Here is a 17,228-nt window from a genome sequence, read left to right on the forward strand (position 1 = left end):
CAATGTACAAAAATCAGTAGCAATCCTATACACCAACAACATCCAAGCTGAGAGCCAAATCAGTAACATAATCCCATTCACAACAGCCACAAAAATAATGAAATGCCTAGAAATACAGCTAACCAGTGAGGTGAAAGATCTTTACAATGAAAATTGCAAAACACTGCTCAAAGAAATCAGAGATGACACAAACAAATGGAAAAACATTCCATGCTCTTGGATAGGAAGAATCAATATTGTTAAAATGGTCATATTGCCCCAGGCAATTTACAAGTTCAATGCTATTCCTATCAAACTACTAATTACATTCTTCACAGAATTAGAAATAAATATTTTAATATTCATATGGCACCAAAAAAGAGCCCAAATAGCCAAGGCAATCCTAAGCAAAATGAACAAAGCTGGAGGCATTACAATACCTGACTTCAAACTATACTACAGGCTACAGTAACCAAAACCGCATGGTACTGATACAAAAACAGACCAATGGAACAGAATAGAGAGCCCGGAAAAAAGGCCACATATCTATGACCATGTGATCTTCAACATAGCTGACAGAAACAAGCAATGGGGAAAAGAATCCCTATTCAATAAATGGCACTAGGATAACTTGCTAGCCACATGCAGAAGATTGAAACTGGACCCGTTTCTTATGCCATATACAAAAATCAACTCAAGATGGATTAAAGACTTAAATGTAAAACCTAAAACTATAACCACCCTGGAAGATAACCTAGGATATACCAGTCTGGACACAGGAGCTGGCAAAGATTTCATCGCAAAGATGCTGAAAGCAATAGCAACAAAAACAAAAACTGACAAATGTTACCTAATTAAATAAAGAATTTCTGCATACAAGAAGATGACTATCAACAGAGTAAACTGACAACCTACAAAATGGGAGAAAATATTTACAAATGATGAATGTGACAAATATGTAATATCCAGCATCTGTAAGGAACTTACATAAATTTATAAGCAAAAATCAAACCACCCCATTAAAAAGTGGGCAAAGGACACGAACAGACACTTTTCAAAAGACATACACGCAGCCAACAAGCATATGAAAAAACGCTCAACATCACTAATCATTAGAGAAATGCAAATCAAAACAAAAACGAGATACCATCTCACACCAGTCAGAATGGCTATTATTAAAAAGTCAAAAAAGTAACAGATGCTGGCAAGGTTGCAGAGAAAAGGGAACACTTGCAGAATGCTGGTGAGAATGTAAATTAGTTTAGCCATTGTGGAGAGCAGTGTGATGATTCCTCAAAGACCTTAAAACAGAATTACCATTCAACCCAGCAATCCCATTACTGGGTATATACCCAAAGGAATATAAATTATTCTACCATAAAGACACATATACACGTTTACTGCAGCATTCTTCATAATATCAAAGATATGTAATCAACCTAAATTCCCATCAATGGTAGACTGGATAAAGAAAATGTGGTACATATATACCATTAAATACTATGCAACCATAAAAAATAAGATCATGTCATTTGCAGCAACACGGATGGAGCTGGAAGCCATCATCCTAAGCAAACTAACACAAAAACAGAAAACCAAATACAGCATATTCTAACTTATAAGTGGGAGCTAAACAATGAGAACATATGGACACAAAGAAGGGAACAACAGACACTGGAGTCTACTTCAGGGTGGAGAGTGAGAGGAGGGAGAGGATCAAAAAGCTACCTATCAGGTACTATACTTTTTACCTGGGTGACAAAATAAACTGAACACCAAACTCCTGTGGCATGAGTTTACCTACATAAACCTGCACATGCACTCCTGAACCTAAAAGTAAAAAAAAAAAAAAAAAAAAAAAACTGCCAAAGAATTAGGAAAAAATCACTTCCTACCAGGAGGACCCAAGAAGAATACATAAGTGTATTCATAAGTGTACTTTGTATTCACAGAAGCATATATAAAGCTTGCCTTTGAAATTTAGAAACTTAACACCTATGGCAATGTGGTAGCTCAGTTTGGCAAAATCACTGAACTTCTCATAGATTAATTATAAAATTTCTGAGTCACTGAGTACTATAGCTCCTGTATTTCGCTGTATTTCGCTATACCTCCCACTAGAAGCAATGCCAAATCCATTTCAGTTTTTAAAACAAAGATGTCTCGCCATCCTACCACTTATGTATCAAGTTAATATATAGCATATTCCTTATGTAATACATGTTCAGAAAACAATAGAAGGCAAAACATCTATAGCTGCTTTACGTAATCCAAAGCTTTCTCTAGGAATCACAGGTTCTTGGCTAGCTTAAAGATTAATGCTTTTCTATAAAACTAACCTGAAAGCCTGCAAAGTTGGGAGATTCCATTTGATGAAATATTAAACTATAACATTTTAGAATTATGAAACACTTTTTATACATTGATAAAAAGAAAAAATTCAAAATACTCTTTTTAATGTTATCACAACTCCAACAGGATGTACCAAAAGCATTTCAAAATGAAGGTAACAATAAGAAAACTAGAAAAGCAAAGACATAAACATTTGCTGTTGTCAAAACCAAGAGATCATTTTACTTTGTACATACATCTCTAATCTCTAGAAATCTAATATATAAGGGTAATTTATTAACAGCAAATGTAAACTATATTATAACGAATAACTTGAGAAACAAACCTGTTGTGAGAATCCACAGAAGAACTGGTACAAAAACTGTGGCAAAATGAAACAAAGGTTCTGAAAAAAAAAAATTAAGACAAGGATTAACATTTTCACTTAATCAACTTGCTAAACTAAAATGGGAAACTATATTCCAAATAGTTTATAATTATTCCTAAATCCTTCTAATGTCAGAATGCAATAAACCTCTATTCCACAGACATAAGGAAACAACTAAAACAATGATTAATTCATATTAAGGCCAACTTTTGCCCTATCAAGGCAGAAGAGGATCTTATTTACTTTATGAGAATCTGTTGCTGTCCTTCTTCCAGGAAATAAATGAGCTCCTCCAATATGAACACCTAATGATACTGTATCTTTAACACCAATTAGATTTGCAAATCATATAGTAGACTGACAATGCTGTAAGTGTACATTTAAAGTCAATTAATGCCAATAAATAGTTGGGAAATTATTATAGATTATGTTGACACTAACAATATCAACTAACGCTTTAATGCCTTTATTACTACCTCATCAAACAATCAACATATCATTACTGAGCATCTACTACACACAAAGGTGGCACACAGATGATAACAAAAAAAGAGTCAACTTCTTTTTCCTAAGTCAGGGCTCCCCCGCCCCTCCCCCGAGGCTGCACAGCAGGAGGTGAGTGGCAGGCAAGTGAGCATTAGGGCCCGAGGTCTCTGGTGCCAAAAAGGTTGGGGACCACTGTCCTAAGGGACTTATTATTTAATTTGAGAAATACTAAAAAGACAAGCAGAAAAGAAACACAAGCTGGGAATTCATAAGGTAGTAAAAGCTACTAAGTGTGATTATAAAATACTGAAAGTAATGTCTTTAAGCAAAACTACCAGCACGAGAATTTTCAAATAAGTGCTATCCTTCAAAGCAGGCTGTGAGCTTTTTTACTGTTACTTGGTCATGATGTCTCTGAACTTCTCTTCAAGAAGCCCCTTCAAGAGCCCACTTTCCAGTCATGCCAGAAAACCAGTCTCCTCCCTTCTGTCAGCTAATTTCTCCAGAATTAGCTCTAGGAGACTTGAGACTGTTTTTAAAAATCAAATGCAACCTCAAAAGATGAACATCTACCACAGCTGAGGATATTTCGATCAATGTACTACTGGCTCTGGAGGATGTTTCTAAAGAAATGAGCTCAACAGGTTTTGAATTGCCCCTGCAGCATGAGTCAGAGCTCCCAAGGTCATCACCTGGAAAAGCAACACTCATTTATACATTATCAGTTCTGGTACAATGCAAAATATAGTCCATAGTATTCCTAGAGTCACAGTTTATGAAAAAAATAAGTGTTCTGAGGTTGAAGCAGGTAGAGCTCAGTGGGGATCATGGGGATGCTCCATTGAGAAGGGAGAGCAGGTATCTACCTCACCCACCAGAATGTAAGTCTCATGAGAAAAGGGACACTGCCTGTCTTATTCCATGGTGTATCCTCAAGCACCTAAAACAGGCCTTGGCACATGGTAACACATTTAAAATATATTTGTTCACCGATTGAATAAACAACTTAGAACTCGAACTATGAATAAAGATGAATAGGACATGTTGATGGCAGGAACCAAGGCAAGAATGTATATATTTTAAACTTATATGGTAAGACAGGGTCACACTGTGGGGTGCATTAAAAGCCAGACTAAAGCTGAGACGGTGGAGAGTAAAGGTTCTAAGGGACAAGTTGAAAAGTGGCATTCTTTAAACACTAATCTAGTTGAATTATGTAAGGAGGATTAAATGGAGAAACAGAAGGCAGGAAGACCTGTCACTGAAGTACTCCGGGAGTGGGCAATAACAATTTGAAGATGCAATGGCGAGAGGATGGAAAGACTTCTCAGCTCAGCCAAATAGAGTTGAAAATTTTAGAAATCCTCTTCGCACAAAAGATAGTAATAAAAAAGAAATACTGCTGAGTCAGTAACCAAGATGATAATGGGCCTAGAGATACTAACGAAGACAGAGGATATCATCTACATAAATAACCACTGGTCAACATTTGCCATTTTAACGCTTGTTTTGCTCTCCTTAACAGAGCATTCCTTCCATCTGGTGGCAGTTGCTTAAATTGCAGGCCAAAACTCAAAAGAGGCAAAATAAGCCTCTGAAATAGGTTCAGATTACTAGGCAGATCTGTATGACAAATCTTCAAGGGATCTCCTACTAGGTGAAGGTCAAGAGAGAATAACCCTTTATTTCCATGAGCTGCTGTTACTGGGTGCAAGGCCCAAAAGACCCTAACTGTGACACATAAAAAGTCCTGGATTTGGAGTAAATGAATCTATGGTGGAACATCTAGCTCTGTCACCTCCTGGATGGAAAGCCAAAGGCAAGTTATACCATCTCTCTGAGCTCTACTTTCCATGTATTTTAAATGGAGATACTACTACTTGACTCATAGGATGTTTGTGAGGATTACATTTTTTAAAAAGTGATTTTGTGAACTCACAAAATACCTTACACATATTGGGTTACCATCATCATTATCATCATTTTCCTCCTCCACAGTGTTTGGCCTGGCTACCAGCAGATACTGGCTACCAGGGTCTTAGAAAATTTGTGAAACTGGGTTCATAGTTTTATAAATATGTATTTTCTTTAAATATAAAGTTAGTAAGAAAGACCTAGGGTTGACTATAGACAACTGACACACAAAATCAGGTGCTGAGCTTTAACTCTTATAAAATATAGGGTATGAAATTCAAATATCATAACTACTTGAATTATATACTAAATACTATATGATTTGAGTAGTTGGAAGATGCACTAAATACTCTACCTACAAACTAGAATCTAATTAAGAAATTTGGTAAATTCTATTCCCTGGTAGACAATAACAAGTATGCAGACTCAGTCTAACGTATACGCTAATGCTTGGTGATAAAACGGAAACCAAGGTATTGTTGAGGAAACTACTTCAGTGTCCAATATTGGGGATTTGCAATGTTGCACAATTATCATGTTTTGGAAGAATATTAAATTGGGTGAGAAAAATGTTCACAACATAAATTAAGTGAAAAAGGCAAAGTGCAAAGCAATATGTATTATACCAATACGTACAAGGTTTCTTTTGGAAATGATAGAAAAGTTTTAGAATTAGACAATGATGATGGTTGCACATCATAGTGAACACATTATAAGTAACTGAATTATACACTTTAAAATGGTGAATTTTAGGCCAAGCATGGTGGCTCAAGCTTGTAATCCCAGCACTTTGAGAGGCTGAGGGGGGCAGATCACTTGAGGTCAGGAGTTTGAGGCCGGCCTGGCCAACATGGTGAAACCCTGTCTCTATTAAAAACACAAAAATCAGCCAGGTGTGGTGGCATGTGCTACTCGGGAAGCTGAGGCATGAGCATCATTTGAACCCAGGAGGCAGAGGCTACAGTGAGCCGAGATCGCGCCACTGCACTCCAGCCTGAGCAACAGAGTGAGACTCTGTCTTTAAGAAAATTTTTCTTTAAAAAAAGGTGAATTTTGTTAAATTATATCTCAAAAAAATTGTAAAAACCTCAATGTAGTGTATAGTGTATAAAAGTATAAAAAAAGTACATATGTTAATTTGTACAGACAAAAGACCAGCAAGGTCACATATCAAAGTGTTACCACTGGTTCTCTTGGTTGACATGCTTATAGACAATTAGAAATGACTGCAAAAATTTCATTTTAGAAAATTTTTATTTTTGTAGAGACAAGGTCTCATATTATTGCCCAGGCTGGTCTCAAAATCCTGACCTCAAGTGATCCTCCCGCCTTGGCCTCCAAAAGCACTAGGATTACAGGAATGAGCCACTACCAAGCCAAAATGTTCTATTTTTTGATTGGTGTAATGGTTACATGGATGTATACATTTGGCAAAACTCATGGAACTGTACACTTTTGATGAATACACTTTATTGTATTTAATTTACATTTCAATAAGGAGGGCTTAAAAATTCCTATCAAAAATTTTGCATCAAAAGGCATTTCTGGTTTCTGATTCATCCAATAGACCACCTCTGCTTTGTTGACTGCAAATTTCAGTATGAGATATCAAAAGCAGCATTAAAAAAAAAAAAGGAAGAACAAAACCATGACCAAGCTGAGCCAATGCTGGATTAAAAAGAAATTAAATTACATATATTTTATCACATACCTTATAGAAGAAGTACTGTACAAGGTGTGCTATTCTCACATAATATAGATGTCCATGAGCCAACAGCAGTTTCTTTAAGTGTTTAAACTTTGGAACAGAATAATCGCTATTCCTAGCTGCTTGGCGACCTTCTTTGCCTTTAATACCTAAAAGAGAGTATCTCTATATGGTGAGCATTTTCTAGAATAAATGACTCCCTGATTTATCTTCACAGTTTCAACTTGGTTTAATGTTATAGTTCAATTCTATCAATTAGTTTTCCTTTTTTAAAAACCAAAAGAGCTTTCTTTAACAGTGACACTGAGACTTACCAAATAATTTAACTAAGTTTAACTGGTAACTCCCTATTCGTAATACAGTATACAACAATTAAATAGAATCATTATTTCAATCATTACAAGGTAAAAATTATCTGAAGAAAAAAACTCAACTTAAAAATAATTAAGTCACTCAGTAAGTGCTTAATTGTGTATGACGCTAGACTAGGTGCTATATTAAGGGAACTCAGAAACCTGGGGTTTGTGGTCTAGGAGTTCAATGAGAAGACGGTGAAATTCTTTCATGTATGAAACCCTGACTAGCAGCGCAAGGGTTCTATGAGCTCGAGCAGCTTTAGGCCATTTGACACTTGGATAACCAATGAGTAGTACTTCAAGTTGCACAAGAAATAGGAATACTTCCAAATGAAAAGAACAGTTTGGGAACCTAAACTGCAGTACAATAATTCCCAAGATATGAATTCCATATCTGGCCCCACCACCCTGCCAAAACAAACAAACTAGCTAACTAACTTGCTGGGGAGTTAGTTGTGTTGCCTAATAGCAACCAGAGAAGGGAAAAAAAATGGTACAGGTGGTGGAAAAGCTGTTGTTGCATGTCAATATATAAATTCAACACTACAGCCCAAACCACCCATTAATACTGCCATGTTGAAAAACAGCCAACCAATTATCATTTCTTAGCCCCAAACAGTTGAGATGTCAAAAGATATAGTACAGCAACATAAGCAGGCAGTCTGGCCAGGGGCAGAAAATCAATAAAAATTTCATGCATGCTGTCAAAGTAAGAGCTAAACAATCAATTGTGCTGCCAGTAGCTTTGGGAAATTCACTCTACTTGGCTAATTGAAAAATATCCTTTAACTTTGTTACATTGCTACATTTCTACCATGGGGTAGGACCTTGGGATGGACATGTTGCATGATCAGATGAGGCCTCCATTTAATTAACAATTATCATTCCAAAATTCAAATTCAAGATGAGTAACCAAAACAGTCACTCTAGAATGTAAGACCACACTACCTAAAAGCAATACTGATACTTTTCACAGCTGCCATCTCATTAGATGTATCTTACCTATTCCCACATGGGATTCCAAGATCATACTAACATCATTGGCACCATCACCTATCGACAGAGTTATTGGGCTGCCTTTTAAATTCTTCACCATTCTGACAATCTAAATATTAAATACAAAAGAGGTGTAAAAAAGGTCAAAGAAGAATGTAAGACTGGGCTACTTTAGGGGTTTATGCCTCATTCACACTTGTAAATAGCAGCCTTGCAAACAGAAAGGTAGTTTGTGCATATACAGTCATCCCTCAGTATCCTTGGAGGACTGGCTCCAGGACGCTCGTAGATACCAAAATCCTCCTGCATACTTTAAATCATCTCTAGGTTTCTTTTAGTAACTAACTACAACGTAAATGCTATGTAAATAGCTGTCATACTGTATTGTTTTAAAATCGGTATTATTTTTATTGTTATACTGTTCGTTGTTTTAGTTTTATTCTAATATTTTCAATCCACAGTTGTTTGGATCTGTGGATGCAGGACCCATGGATACGGAGGGCCAACTGTAATATGTACAATAGTGTCAAATTCACAGATGCAGAACACAGCCATTCAAAATGTAACACCAGCACCCACTTGTCCTAGTTCTATGCATATATGAACTATCAAAAACTTTGCCTCTCATGCATATTAGAGGTCAATACATTTCCTTCTTTTTTCATTGCATCATGTGTTCTTTCAGATCAGATGTTGAATGTGTGACAGTAGAAGCCAGAAAGCTGATTTGGGGTAACATACATAAGGCCACCAGAACCAAGTAGGAAGTCAGAGAACAATGTTTTTGGTTACTTTCTACTCTCTCCTCCCTGCTGACACTCTCACCTTCCCTAGGAGCACATCAACCCTTATTCCAACTTACCTAATGTTAAATTATTGCACCTATCTGGATGCCAACTAAACTTTAATAAATCTCTCACTGCTCAATATGGTCTGACCTCTCCTACGAGTAGCTGTATTTTAAAAGAGGTACACTAAAGGGGTTGACATTTGCAGAAAGATGTCCAAGATATGTGTACAAAGCCTGTCGCTATTCCCTGAGTGTTTCTTCAAGATGTATAAATGTACTGAATAAAATGTTCATCCCTGGTATTAAAATACTTCTGCCTTGGGGTTCTCCAAAAACCTCCTGGCAGAGTTACTTGTGGGAAGTGCATTGGGTGATCAGCTGCCCTCTTACCCTATGTTTTAGATAATCACTGTTTGATGTGGCAAGCCACAAAACCCCTTGGAATCTAGCGGCTTAAAAAAAAATAATTTAGTAGCTAAATAATGCTTTGCAAAAATACTGTCCTCACAATTGTTCTGACCAGTTAACATAAATAAAATCCATTTTCAACATAACTGAAGTGATGAAAAATAATTCATGAGGCTAAGGCACCCTGCAGTTATTTCTTTAAATAGAATTCAATCAGGTTTTAGTTGTATTAAATAGTACAAAAAACCCCACATCCAATTCCACTTAACACAAAAATGATGTGACTATGAAATGCCAGCTTCCCCCAATCCCTCCCCTCAACTTGGTTCTTCTTAAAAACTTTACAGAAGACTGTCAGAAATAACCTGTAAGTGAAAGAATAAAAGACAAAATTAAAGAACCCAAACTAAATGTGTTTTTAATAGGCTACAATAATGGTTAACTAAGTGCACCTGTTATACTGTGTGCAGTAACGATTTGCACCTCAAGGAAAAAATACGCACCCAAGGTTTAGGGAAGGCAATAAAATTATCAAGGGTGACAGCTTCTGCATGAAAACATAGACTAAAAAGAGTAAAACTCTCCACTGTAGAAAGATAAAAGGATATACAATCATGGACCATAAAATCATGAAGGGATTTAGATTCGTAAACATGGACTTTTTCACTCAGCCCTAGATCAAATGGATTAAGACCTCTTCAATCTCTAGGATAGCTTCATGAAAAAAAAAAATATTTTACCAAAAGCTATTCATCAAGTATAATAGCTTGCTTTATATTGTATACAGGAATGTGCTAAGAGCCAAAACAGATATAAGGTTTCATCACACACCTTAAAAAGCATATAAATGAAGTAGTAGAGTTAGGTCATGAGTACAAGAATATTAGATAAGCAGATTAACAATACAAGGTAACAAAATGTAGCATCTGTGCAGGAATGTATGATATTGTCATCCATGTAAGAAGGCCTAGGATGTCAGAGAAGGGAGAAGATACCATACATGCCAGAGTGATCAGGAATTTTACAGAAGGACGAGTGATTTGATCTAAATCATGAAATATTAGTAAGACTCGCATAGATGAGAAAGAAAGAAAGGAGTATTCCAGAGAAAGGAACTAGCATATCCAAGAGCACATAGCCAGATAAATACAGTAAATGCTGAGAGAATAGATCTGGCTTGCCCAGATCAATTGGAATTTTCATATAGGAGACATGGACAGAAATATCTGGAGCTAGTTCAACAGCAGGGTGTAGGAAGAACCGGAGGAAAGCAAGACTGTGGGCAAAGAGAGAAGTTAGGTGGCTAGTTCCAGGAGTTCAATGAGCTATTGAAAGGCCTAGCCCTGAAAGGTAATGAAAAGAAAGGAATAGATGGAAAAGACGATGTAATAAGAAACAGACAAAATTTAGTGACTAAGACTACAATGAAAGGGTAATGTATGTGGTATGTGGGAAGGCAACACAGGTTTCAAGGTTTTGAATCTAGAAATCTGGAAGTACACTGAGGTCAGTCATAGAAAAAGAAGATGCCAAGGAAAATGATGGTTGGACTCTAGAGAAGTCAGATTTGGGGTGATAATGCCACACCCAAGAATATGTGTTTGGGAAACAGCTGAAAAAGTAAAGTAGATCACCAAATATTTGGATTGGAGATAGTGACTTGAATATCACATACATGAACATGACAGCTAAGTATGTAATATCCTGCAAAAAATAACTATAGTGACAGAAATAAAACAGAATGAGGACTAAACCACAAGTGGTGGCATAATTAAGGTGGAAGAAGCAGCATGGGGTCAGGAATTCATATACCTGCCTGGCAGTGAAGCAGTCAGAACCCAGGTGAGCAATTTGAGCAGCATACACTGAATGTAAGGAAAAAAAGAGATCGCTTTTGCAGGAAAACCTCTGACTAAGGGGACAGATACTTTTGAATAGTGTATTCTGGTTGGATCTGATTCCCAACCTGGGGCCAAGAAAGTTTTACAAGATTGAAGAAAAGAAAGAAGAGCCTCTGATTGCAGTGGGGACTGAGAGCTAGAAGGCAGACAGAAGAAATGCCTCAAATATGATGGGCGCTGTGTGTGTGTGTGTGCATATGTGTGCGTGTGTGTGTGCGCGCGCACAGTATATAAAAGAAAAGCCACAGACACAGCCATCCCCTTGTTTAGAGGAAGTGGTTAAAGAATCTGATGAAGCAAAACTAACACATATGAAAGAATATCCTATAGCATATATGGAAATGAAAAAGTAGGTAATGGAGACTCTAAGTTTCCTTGTACCTAGTGAATACAAAGAAGCAAGGTGAGGCAATTTGGACTGGAGGAGCTGGAAAAGAAAGCATGTAGGAGGTGGCCCTTCATCTAGGTTTCATTATGAGTAAAATTTGTGTTAGGCCAGGGGAATTCAGAGAGAGTGCCAGATGAGGAAATGATGTGACAAAAGTTTTGAAAGTTGCCCTGAGCATGACATATGGAAGACCATGGAAGAACAACCAACAGGAGTGCAGAATGTACACCAGAGAAAGGAGTGATAGTGGACACAAAGTACAAAATTTGTAGAGACATGTTAAGGGACAACAGTGGGGAGCCCCAGGCGCCACATTCACTCAACTGCCCTTCATCCTAAGGGACTAAGAAACTACTGAAAGTGTCCGAAAAAGAATGTATGATAGGAAGAGTTGTGTTTTAACAAGATTAATTTGGGAGTGTGGAGAGATTAAAAATGGGTGGGTGAAAGCAAGGAGACCAGTGAGGAGACTAAATCAAATAGTCTGTGTGTAAAGTCATAAAGGCTTGGACTAGTTGGGCAGTAAAAGGTTTTGAAAGATGGCATCAAAATGAGAGCTATGACAAAAGGTAGGACCAACAGGACATGGCGACTATATATAGAGGGAGAGGAGAAGGATCAAAGGTAGTTTTGAGACATAGGGAGCAAGAGAAAAGTGGCACTGGTAACAAGAACAATATAAAAGAAAAACCAAACTGGTCTGAGGAAGAAAATTTTAAGATCTGTGTTGGACACCAGAATTTTTGTGACGGTAGGGAATCCATATATAGCTGTCTAGCACACAGGTAGAAATAGAAGACTTAATGTCAAGAAAAAGTCAGGGGCACACATTTATCAATGGGAGTCAGAGAAATAGACTTGCTTATCCAGAGAGAGACCATAAAGCTAAAAGTGGAGAGAAAACTTTGCCCTAGAAAAAACAGATAATTAGGGAGAAAATAGAGGATGGCACAAAATAAAAAGTCACTACATTGACAAATAAAATGTCAGGACCATGGACCGTCACAGAGACCATGAAAGCATAATTTTAAGGAGGATATAACTGATGGTGTCAAGAGCAAAGGAGAAATGAGAAAGAGAATGGAAGACTACACAAGGGATGGGCCAGGTCTACCTGCAGGCAAGCCAAGGGAGTAAGAAGAGCAGAAAGAACACACAGAGCTAATGTCATAAGGGATCTAGGAGCAGTGGCAGCAGGCACAAAGCACTCATCAGAGAAAAAAGTCTGGAAGGTGAGGAACTGGGACAGCCAGATTGAGGGGACAACAAGGTGCAGCATAAGTTTAATTCAAAATGGGGAAAGACTTCTGAGTCTGATTACAAAAAGAAAGAAGCCTTGGAGGAAGAAATTAGATAGTAATAATGGCCCTTTGAAGAAGAAATAATTTTTTAAAAAAATAAACATTTGCACATATATGTATAGAAGTATCCAGAATGGAACGTTAACTAATATTCACAGTTACCTGGGCTTTCTGTAATGGTGCCATCCGACAGCAGAGCACTGCAGTACACTTCATACATATTTGTAGGAAAATGCTTTTGTAATTGTTTGAACTAGAGTCTTGACTAGAATTTAGTATGAGTGACAATGTGGAGCCATCTATGATTAATCCATATTCCTGATGTTCTGTCCATGCTCTGAAAAAGAGAAACAATGCTATGTTTGGATTTATTACAGATTTCTGTTTAGGATCCAGATTTTTTTTTTAAACAACAAAGGGGGTGGTCTCAGATAAGGGGAGTCATCAATCTGGTTCCTCAACCTGTTCACTCTAAAGAAGCAACTGCCTCTAATAATGGCACAACAGTGATTTGCAATCGTATCTTTGAGACCCAAGTTGCACATAATAGATGACTACAAGTTCTAAAAGGTCAACTTGGTGAGGCCACATTTCCCAGTTATTTAATCAAACAATTGTCTAAGTGATGCTGTAAAGGTATTTTGTGGATGTGATGAAAGTCCACAAGCAGTTGATTTCAAGTAAGAGAGATCATCCTAGATAACTAAAGTGGGCCTGATTCAGTCACTTGAAAGGTTTTAAGAGGAGAGCTGAGACTTCCTGATGCAGTAGCCTTAGCTACTTCCTGAGACTTCCTAAGGCAGTAGCCTTAGCTACTTCCTGAGACTTCCTAAGGCAGTAGCCTTAGCTCACGCCTGAGAGTCCCAGCCCTTCCTAAGAGCCTATCCCACAAATCTAGACCTGCCCAGCTAGATAATACAATTGCCCAAGCCAAGTCCTAACAATAAATCTCTCAATATATTCTTTTACTGGTTCTATTTTTCTGGTTGAACTTTGACTAATATAAACTTTTTTTTTTGATGTTTAGAAAATAAGAGGTTAAGCAGCCTGACTCTGTATAAGAAACGTATGGTATCTGGAATTCAAATTAATTAGTCAAACTCTGCTATGAAGACAAATCATCAATTAGTCTGAAACTCCCTAGCAATATAGGGAAAAGACAAATGGCTTTGGGGCAAACATACATATATATATATATATATATATATATATATATATATATATATATATTCTTTAAATGTATCATTTTACATACTAGCTTAGTGGTTCTCTAGCCATCCCATTCAAATCATCTGGGTGGCTTTAAAAATTGCCCATGCCTGGGGCCTATCCCCAGACCAATTAAATCAGAGTACCTTGGCCAGGGCTTGGTTATATATAGGTATATTTTAAAAGCTTCCTAGGTGGTTCTCATGTGTAGCCAGGACTAAGAGGTGTTAGGTGTCAGGAAAGACAAATGTGTAACAGGTGCCAAGTATTTAAGAAAAATATAGTGTAAAACTTACAAATGAGAAAATTCTGCCAATTAACTTTTATTTTTCAATTAGGAAACAAACAAGTGGTTATTCAAGTTTTGCTCCGGGGAATCTTGGGTGCCATTTGACAACCACTACAGTGGAAGCATTAGACAAAGCAGGATCTCAGAGATTCAGTTATCTAATTTAATGATACTCAAAGTTTAACGTGCAAAGGAATCACCTGGGAATCTTCTTAAACTGCAAATTCGGATTCGTTAGGTCTGGGGTGTGATGTGAGATTTTGCATTTCTAACAAGCTGCCCAGTGACAATGGAGCTGCTATTCTATAGACGAAGCTTTGAGTAGTGAGGGCCTAATATACCTCATCATTCCTTTATTCCATATTTCTTCAGTGTATACTGCTAATACCATAACATTTTATACTTACAAATATTTTGCTGTATAATTTTATTCACTAAATAAAGAGACATAAATGATGTGTTCTCTTTCTTTGCTCCCCTACTCATATATTAATAGCTTACTTATGGGGCTGAAAACAGCAACTCAATAACCAATGAAGAAATAACTTGTAAACACCAACTATAAGCACACTATATAGAGAAATACAAAGAATTATGGACTAATCTTTTTATGGAGAATAGAAAATCTCCTTAGATTGATAGAAGCATACATGAGAGAACTACCTAACCAAACAAGATAATCAATGGTTGATGTCCAGTTATTGAGACATATCCACACAGGAAAGAATAGTGGATTCTTTGTGAGGTGCAATATCTAAAGTAGGACTTGAAAAACAGGGAATAAAGAGGTGATGTAATAGAATGTATGTTGGGGTGCACTGCAAAAGCAGGTTGAAAAGGTCACTTAAGGCCTCTGGTGTGGCCTGAATCTGTGACTAATGGAGAACCACCAAAGTTTTCAGAGCGGATATGATATGGACAGTGCTTCACTTAAAGATCATTCATCTGGCAGAGGGGCTTAAGGGATTTCATGCATGATGTACTAGACCTCTGATGTGGGTGGGGCACTAGAGGTGAGAATGGGGGTATGAATATGGCTTGGGGGCTGATTTGAAGGGGAAAGGGCAAAGGAGCAGAAGCTGGCAAAGGTGACTGAGTCTGAACCCTGTGTAAGTAAGTAAAGACTGTGCCCGACTCCAAACAAATAACCAGGAAGATGGGCTGATCTGAGACAGTGACAGTAAATTAAGTTTTCCACAAGCCCTGGCTTTTACAAAAGTGTCCTCAGGGCTGTTGAATGGTGCTATAGACTGAATTGTGTTCCCCTGCAAATTCATGCTGAAGCCCTACCCCCAATGTGATTGTATTTGAAGATAGCACCTTTAGAGGGTGAGGCCCTCATGATGGGATTTGCATCTGTTATAAACTGAATTGTGTTCTCCCAAGATTCATCTGTTGAAGCTCTTAACTCCCAGTGTTGTGGTATTAGGAGGTGGGGCCCTTGAGAGTAACTAACTGATATGGTTTGGCTGTGTCCCCACCCAAATCTCAACTTGAATTGTATCTCCCAAAACTGCCATGTGTTGTGGGAGGGACCCAGGGGGAGGTAACTGAATCATAGGGGCCGGTCTTTCCTGTGCTGTTCTCGTGAGAGTGAGTAAGTCTCATGAGATCTGATGGGTTTATCGGGTTTCCGCTTTTGCTTCTTCCTCATTTTTCTGTTACCGTAGCCATGTAAGAAGTGCCTTTTGCCTCTCGCCTTGATTCTGAGGCCTCCCCAGCCATGTGGAACTGTAAGTCCAATTAAATCTCTTTTTCTTCCCAGTCTCGGGTAAGTTTTTATCAGCAGCATGAAAACGGACTAATACAGTAAATTGGTACCAGTAGAGTGGGGTGTTGCTGAAAAGATAACCAAAACTGTGGACGCAACTTTGGAACTGGGTAACAGGCAGAGGCTGGGACAGTTTGGAGGGCTCACAGGAAGACAGGAAAATGTGGGAAAGTTTGGAACCTCCTAGACACTTGTTGAATGGCTTTGACAAAAATGCTGATAGTGATATGAAAAGTAAGGTTCAGGCTGAGGTGGTCTCAGACAGAGATGAGGAACTTGTTGGGAACCGGAGCAAAGGTGACTCTTGCTATGTTTTAGCAGAGAGACTGGTGGCATTTTGTCCCTGCCCTAGAGATTTGTGGAAGTTTGAACTTGAGAGAGATGATTTAGGGTATCTGGCAGAAGAAATTTCTAAGGAGCAAAGCATTCAAAAGGTAATCTAGATGCTGTTAAAAGCATTCCATTTTAAAAGGGAAACAGAGCATAAAGTTCAGAAAATTTGCAGCCTGATGATGCGACAGAAAAGAAAAACCCATTTTCTGAGAAGAAATTCATGCCAGCTGCAGAAATTTGCATAAGAAGCAAGGAGCCTAATGTTAATCCCCAAGACCATGGGGAAAATGTCTCCAGGCCATGTCAGAGACCTTCACAGCAGCCCCTCCCATCACAGGCCCGGAGGCCCAGGAAGAAAAGTGGTTTCATGGGCCAGGCCCAGCGTCCCCGTGCTGTGTGTAGCCTAGGGATTTGGTGCCCTGTGCAGCTGCTCTAGCCATGGCTGAAAGGGGCCAACGTAGAGCTTAGGCCATGGCTTCAGAGGGTGGAAGCCCCAAGCCTTGGCAGCTTCCACATGGCATTGAGCCTGAGGGTACACAAAGTCAAGAACTGAGATTTGGGAACCTCCACCTAGATTTCAGAATATGTATGGAAACGTGTGGATGTCCAGGCAAAAGTTTGCTGCAGGGATGGGGCCCTCATGGAGAACCTCTGCTTGGACAGTGCAGAAGGGAAATGTG

At 38.2% G+C, this 17,228-nt stretch overlaps 1 protein-coding gene across 21 annotated transcripts in view; it reads right to left on the reverse strand.

The window, feature by feature from the left end:
• Positions 1–17,228, reverse strand: part of ATP11C (ATPase phospholipid transporting 11C (ATP11C blood group)) — a 210,556-nt gene that overhangs the window by 28,804 nt on the left and 164,524 nt on the right. For 20 of the 21 annotated variants that reach the window (XM_047442018.1, XM_047442024.1, NM_001353810.2 and 17 more), the window contains 4 exons: positions 13,109–13,283; positions 8,165–8,267; positions 6,810–6,955; positions 2,657–2,716 (listed from right to left, as the gene is read on the reverse strand). In XM_047442018.1, the coding sequence (XP_047297974.1) occupies positions 2,657–2,716; positions 6,810–6,955; positions 8,165–8,267; positions 13,109–13,283 (484 nt within the window). Of the gene's footprint in view, positions 1–2,656; positions 2,717–6,809; positions 6,956–8,164; positions 8,268–13,108; positions 13,303–17,228 lie in introns of those variants that run through there. The other variant, XM_047442030.1, reaches the window with a different exon arrangement.

The sequence above is a fragment of the Homo sapiens genome, chromosome X (genome assembly GCF_000001405.40).
Source record: "Homo sapiens chromosome X, GRCh38.p14 Primary Assembly".
In the NCBI taxonomy this organism is placed as follows: domain Eukaryota; kingdom Metazoa; phylum Chordata; class Mammalia; order Primates; family Hominidae; genus Homo; species Homo sapiens.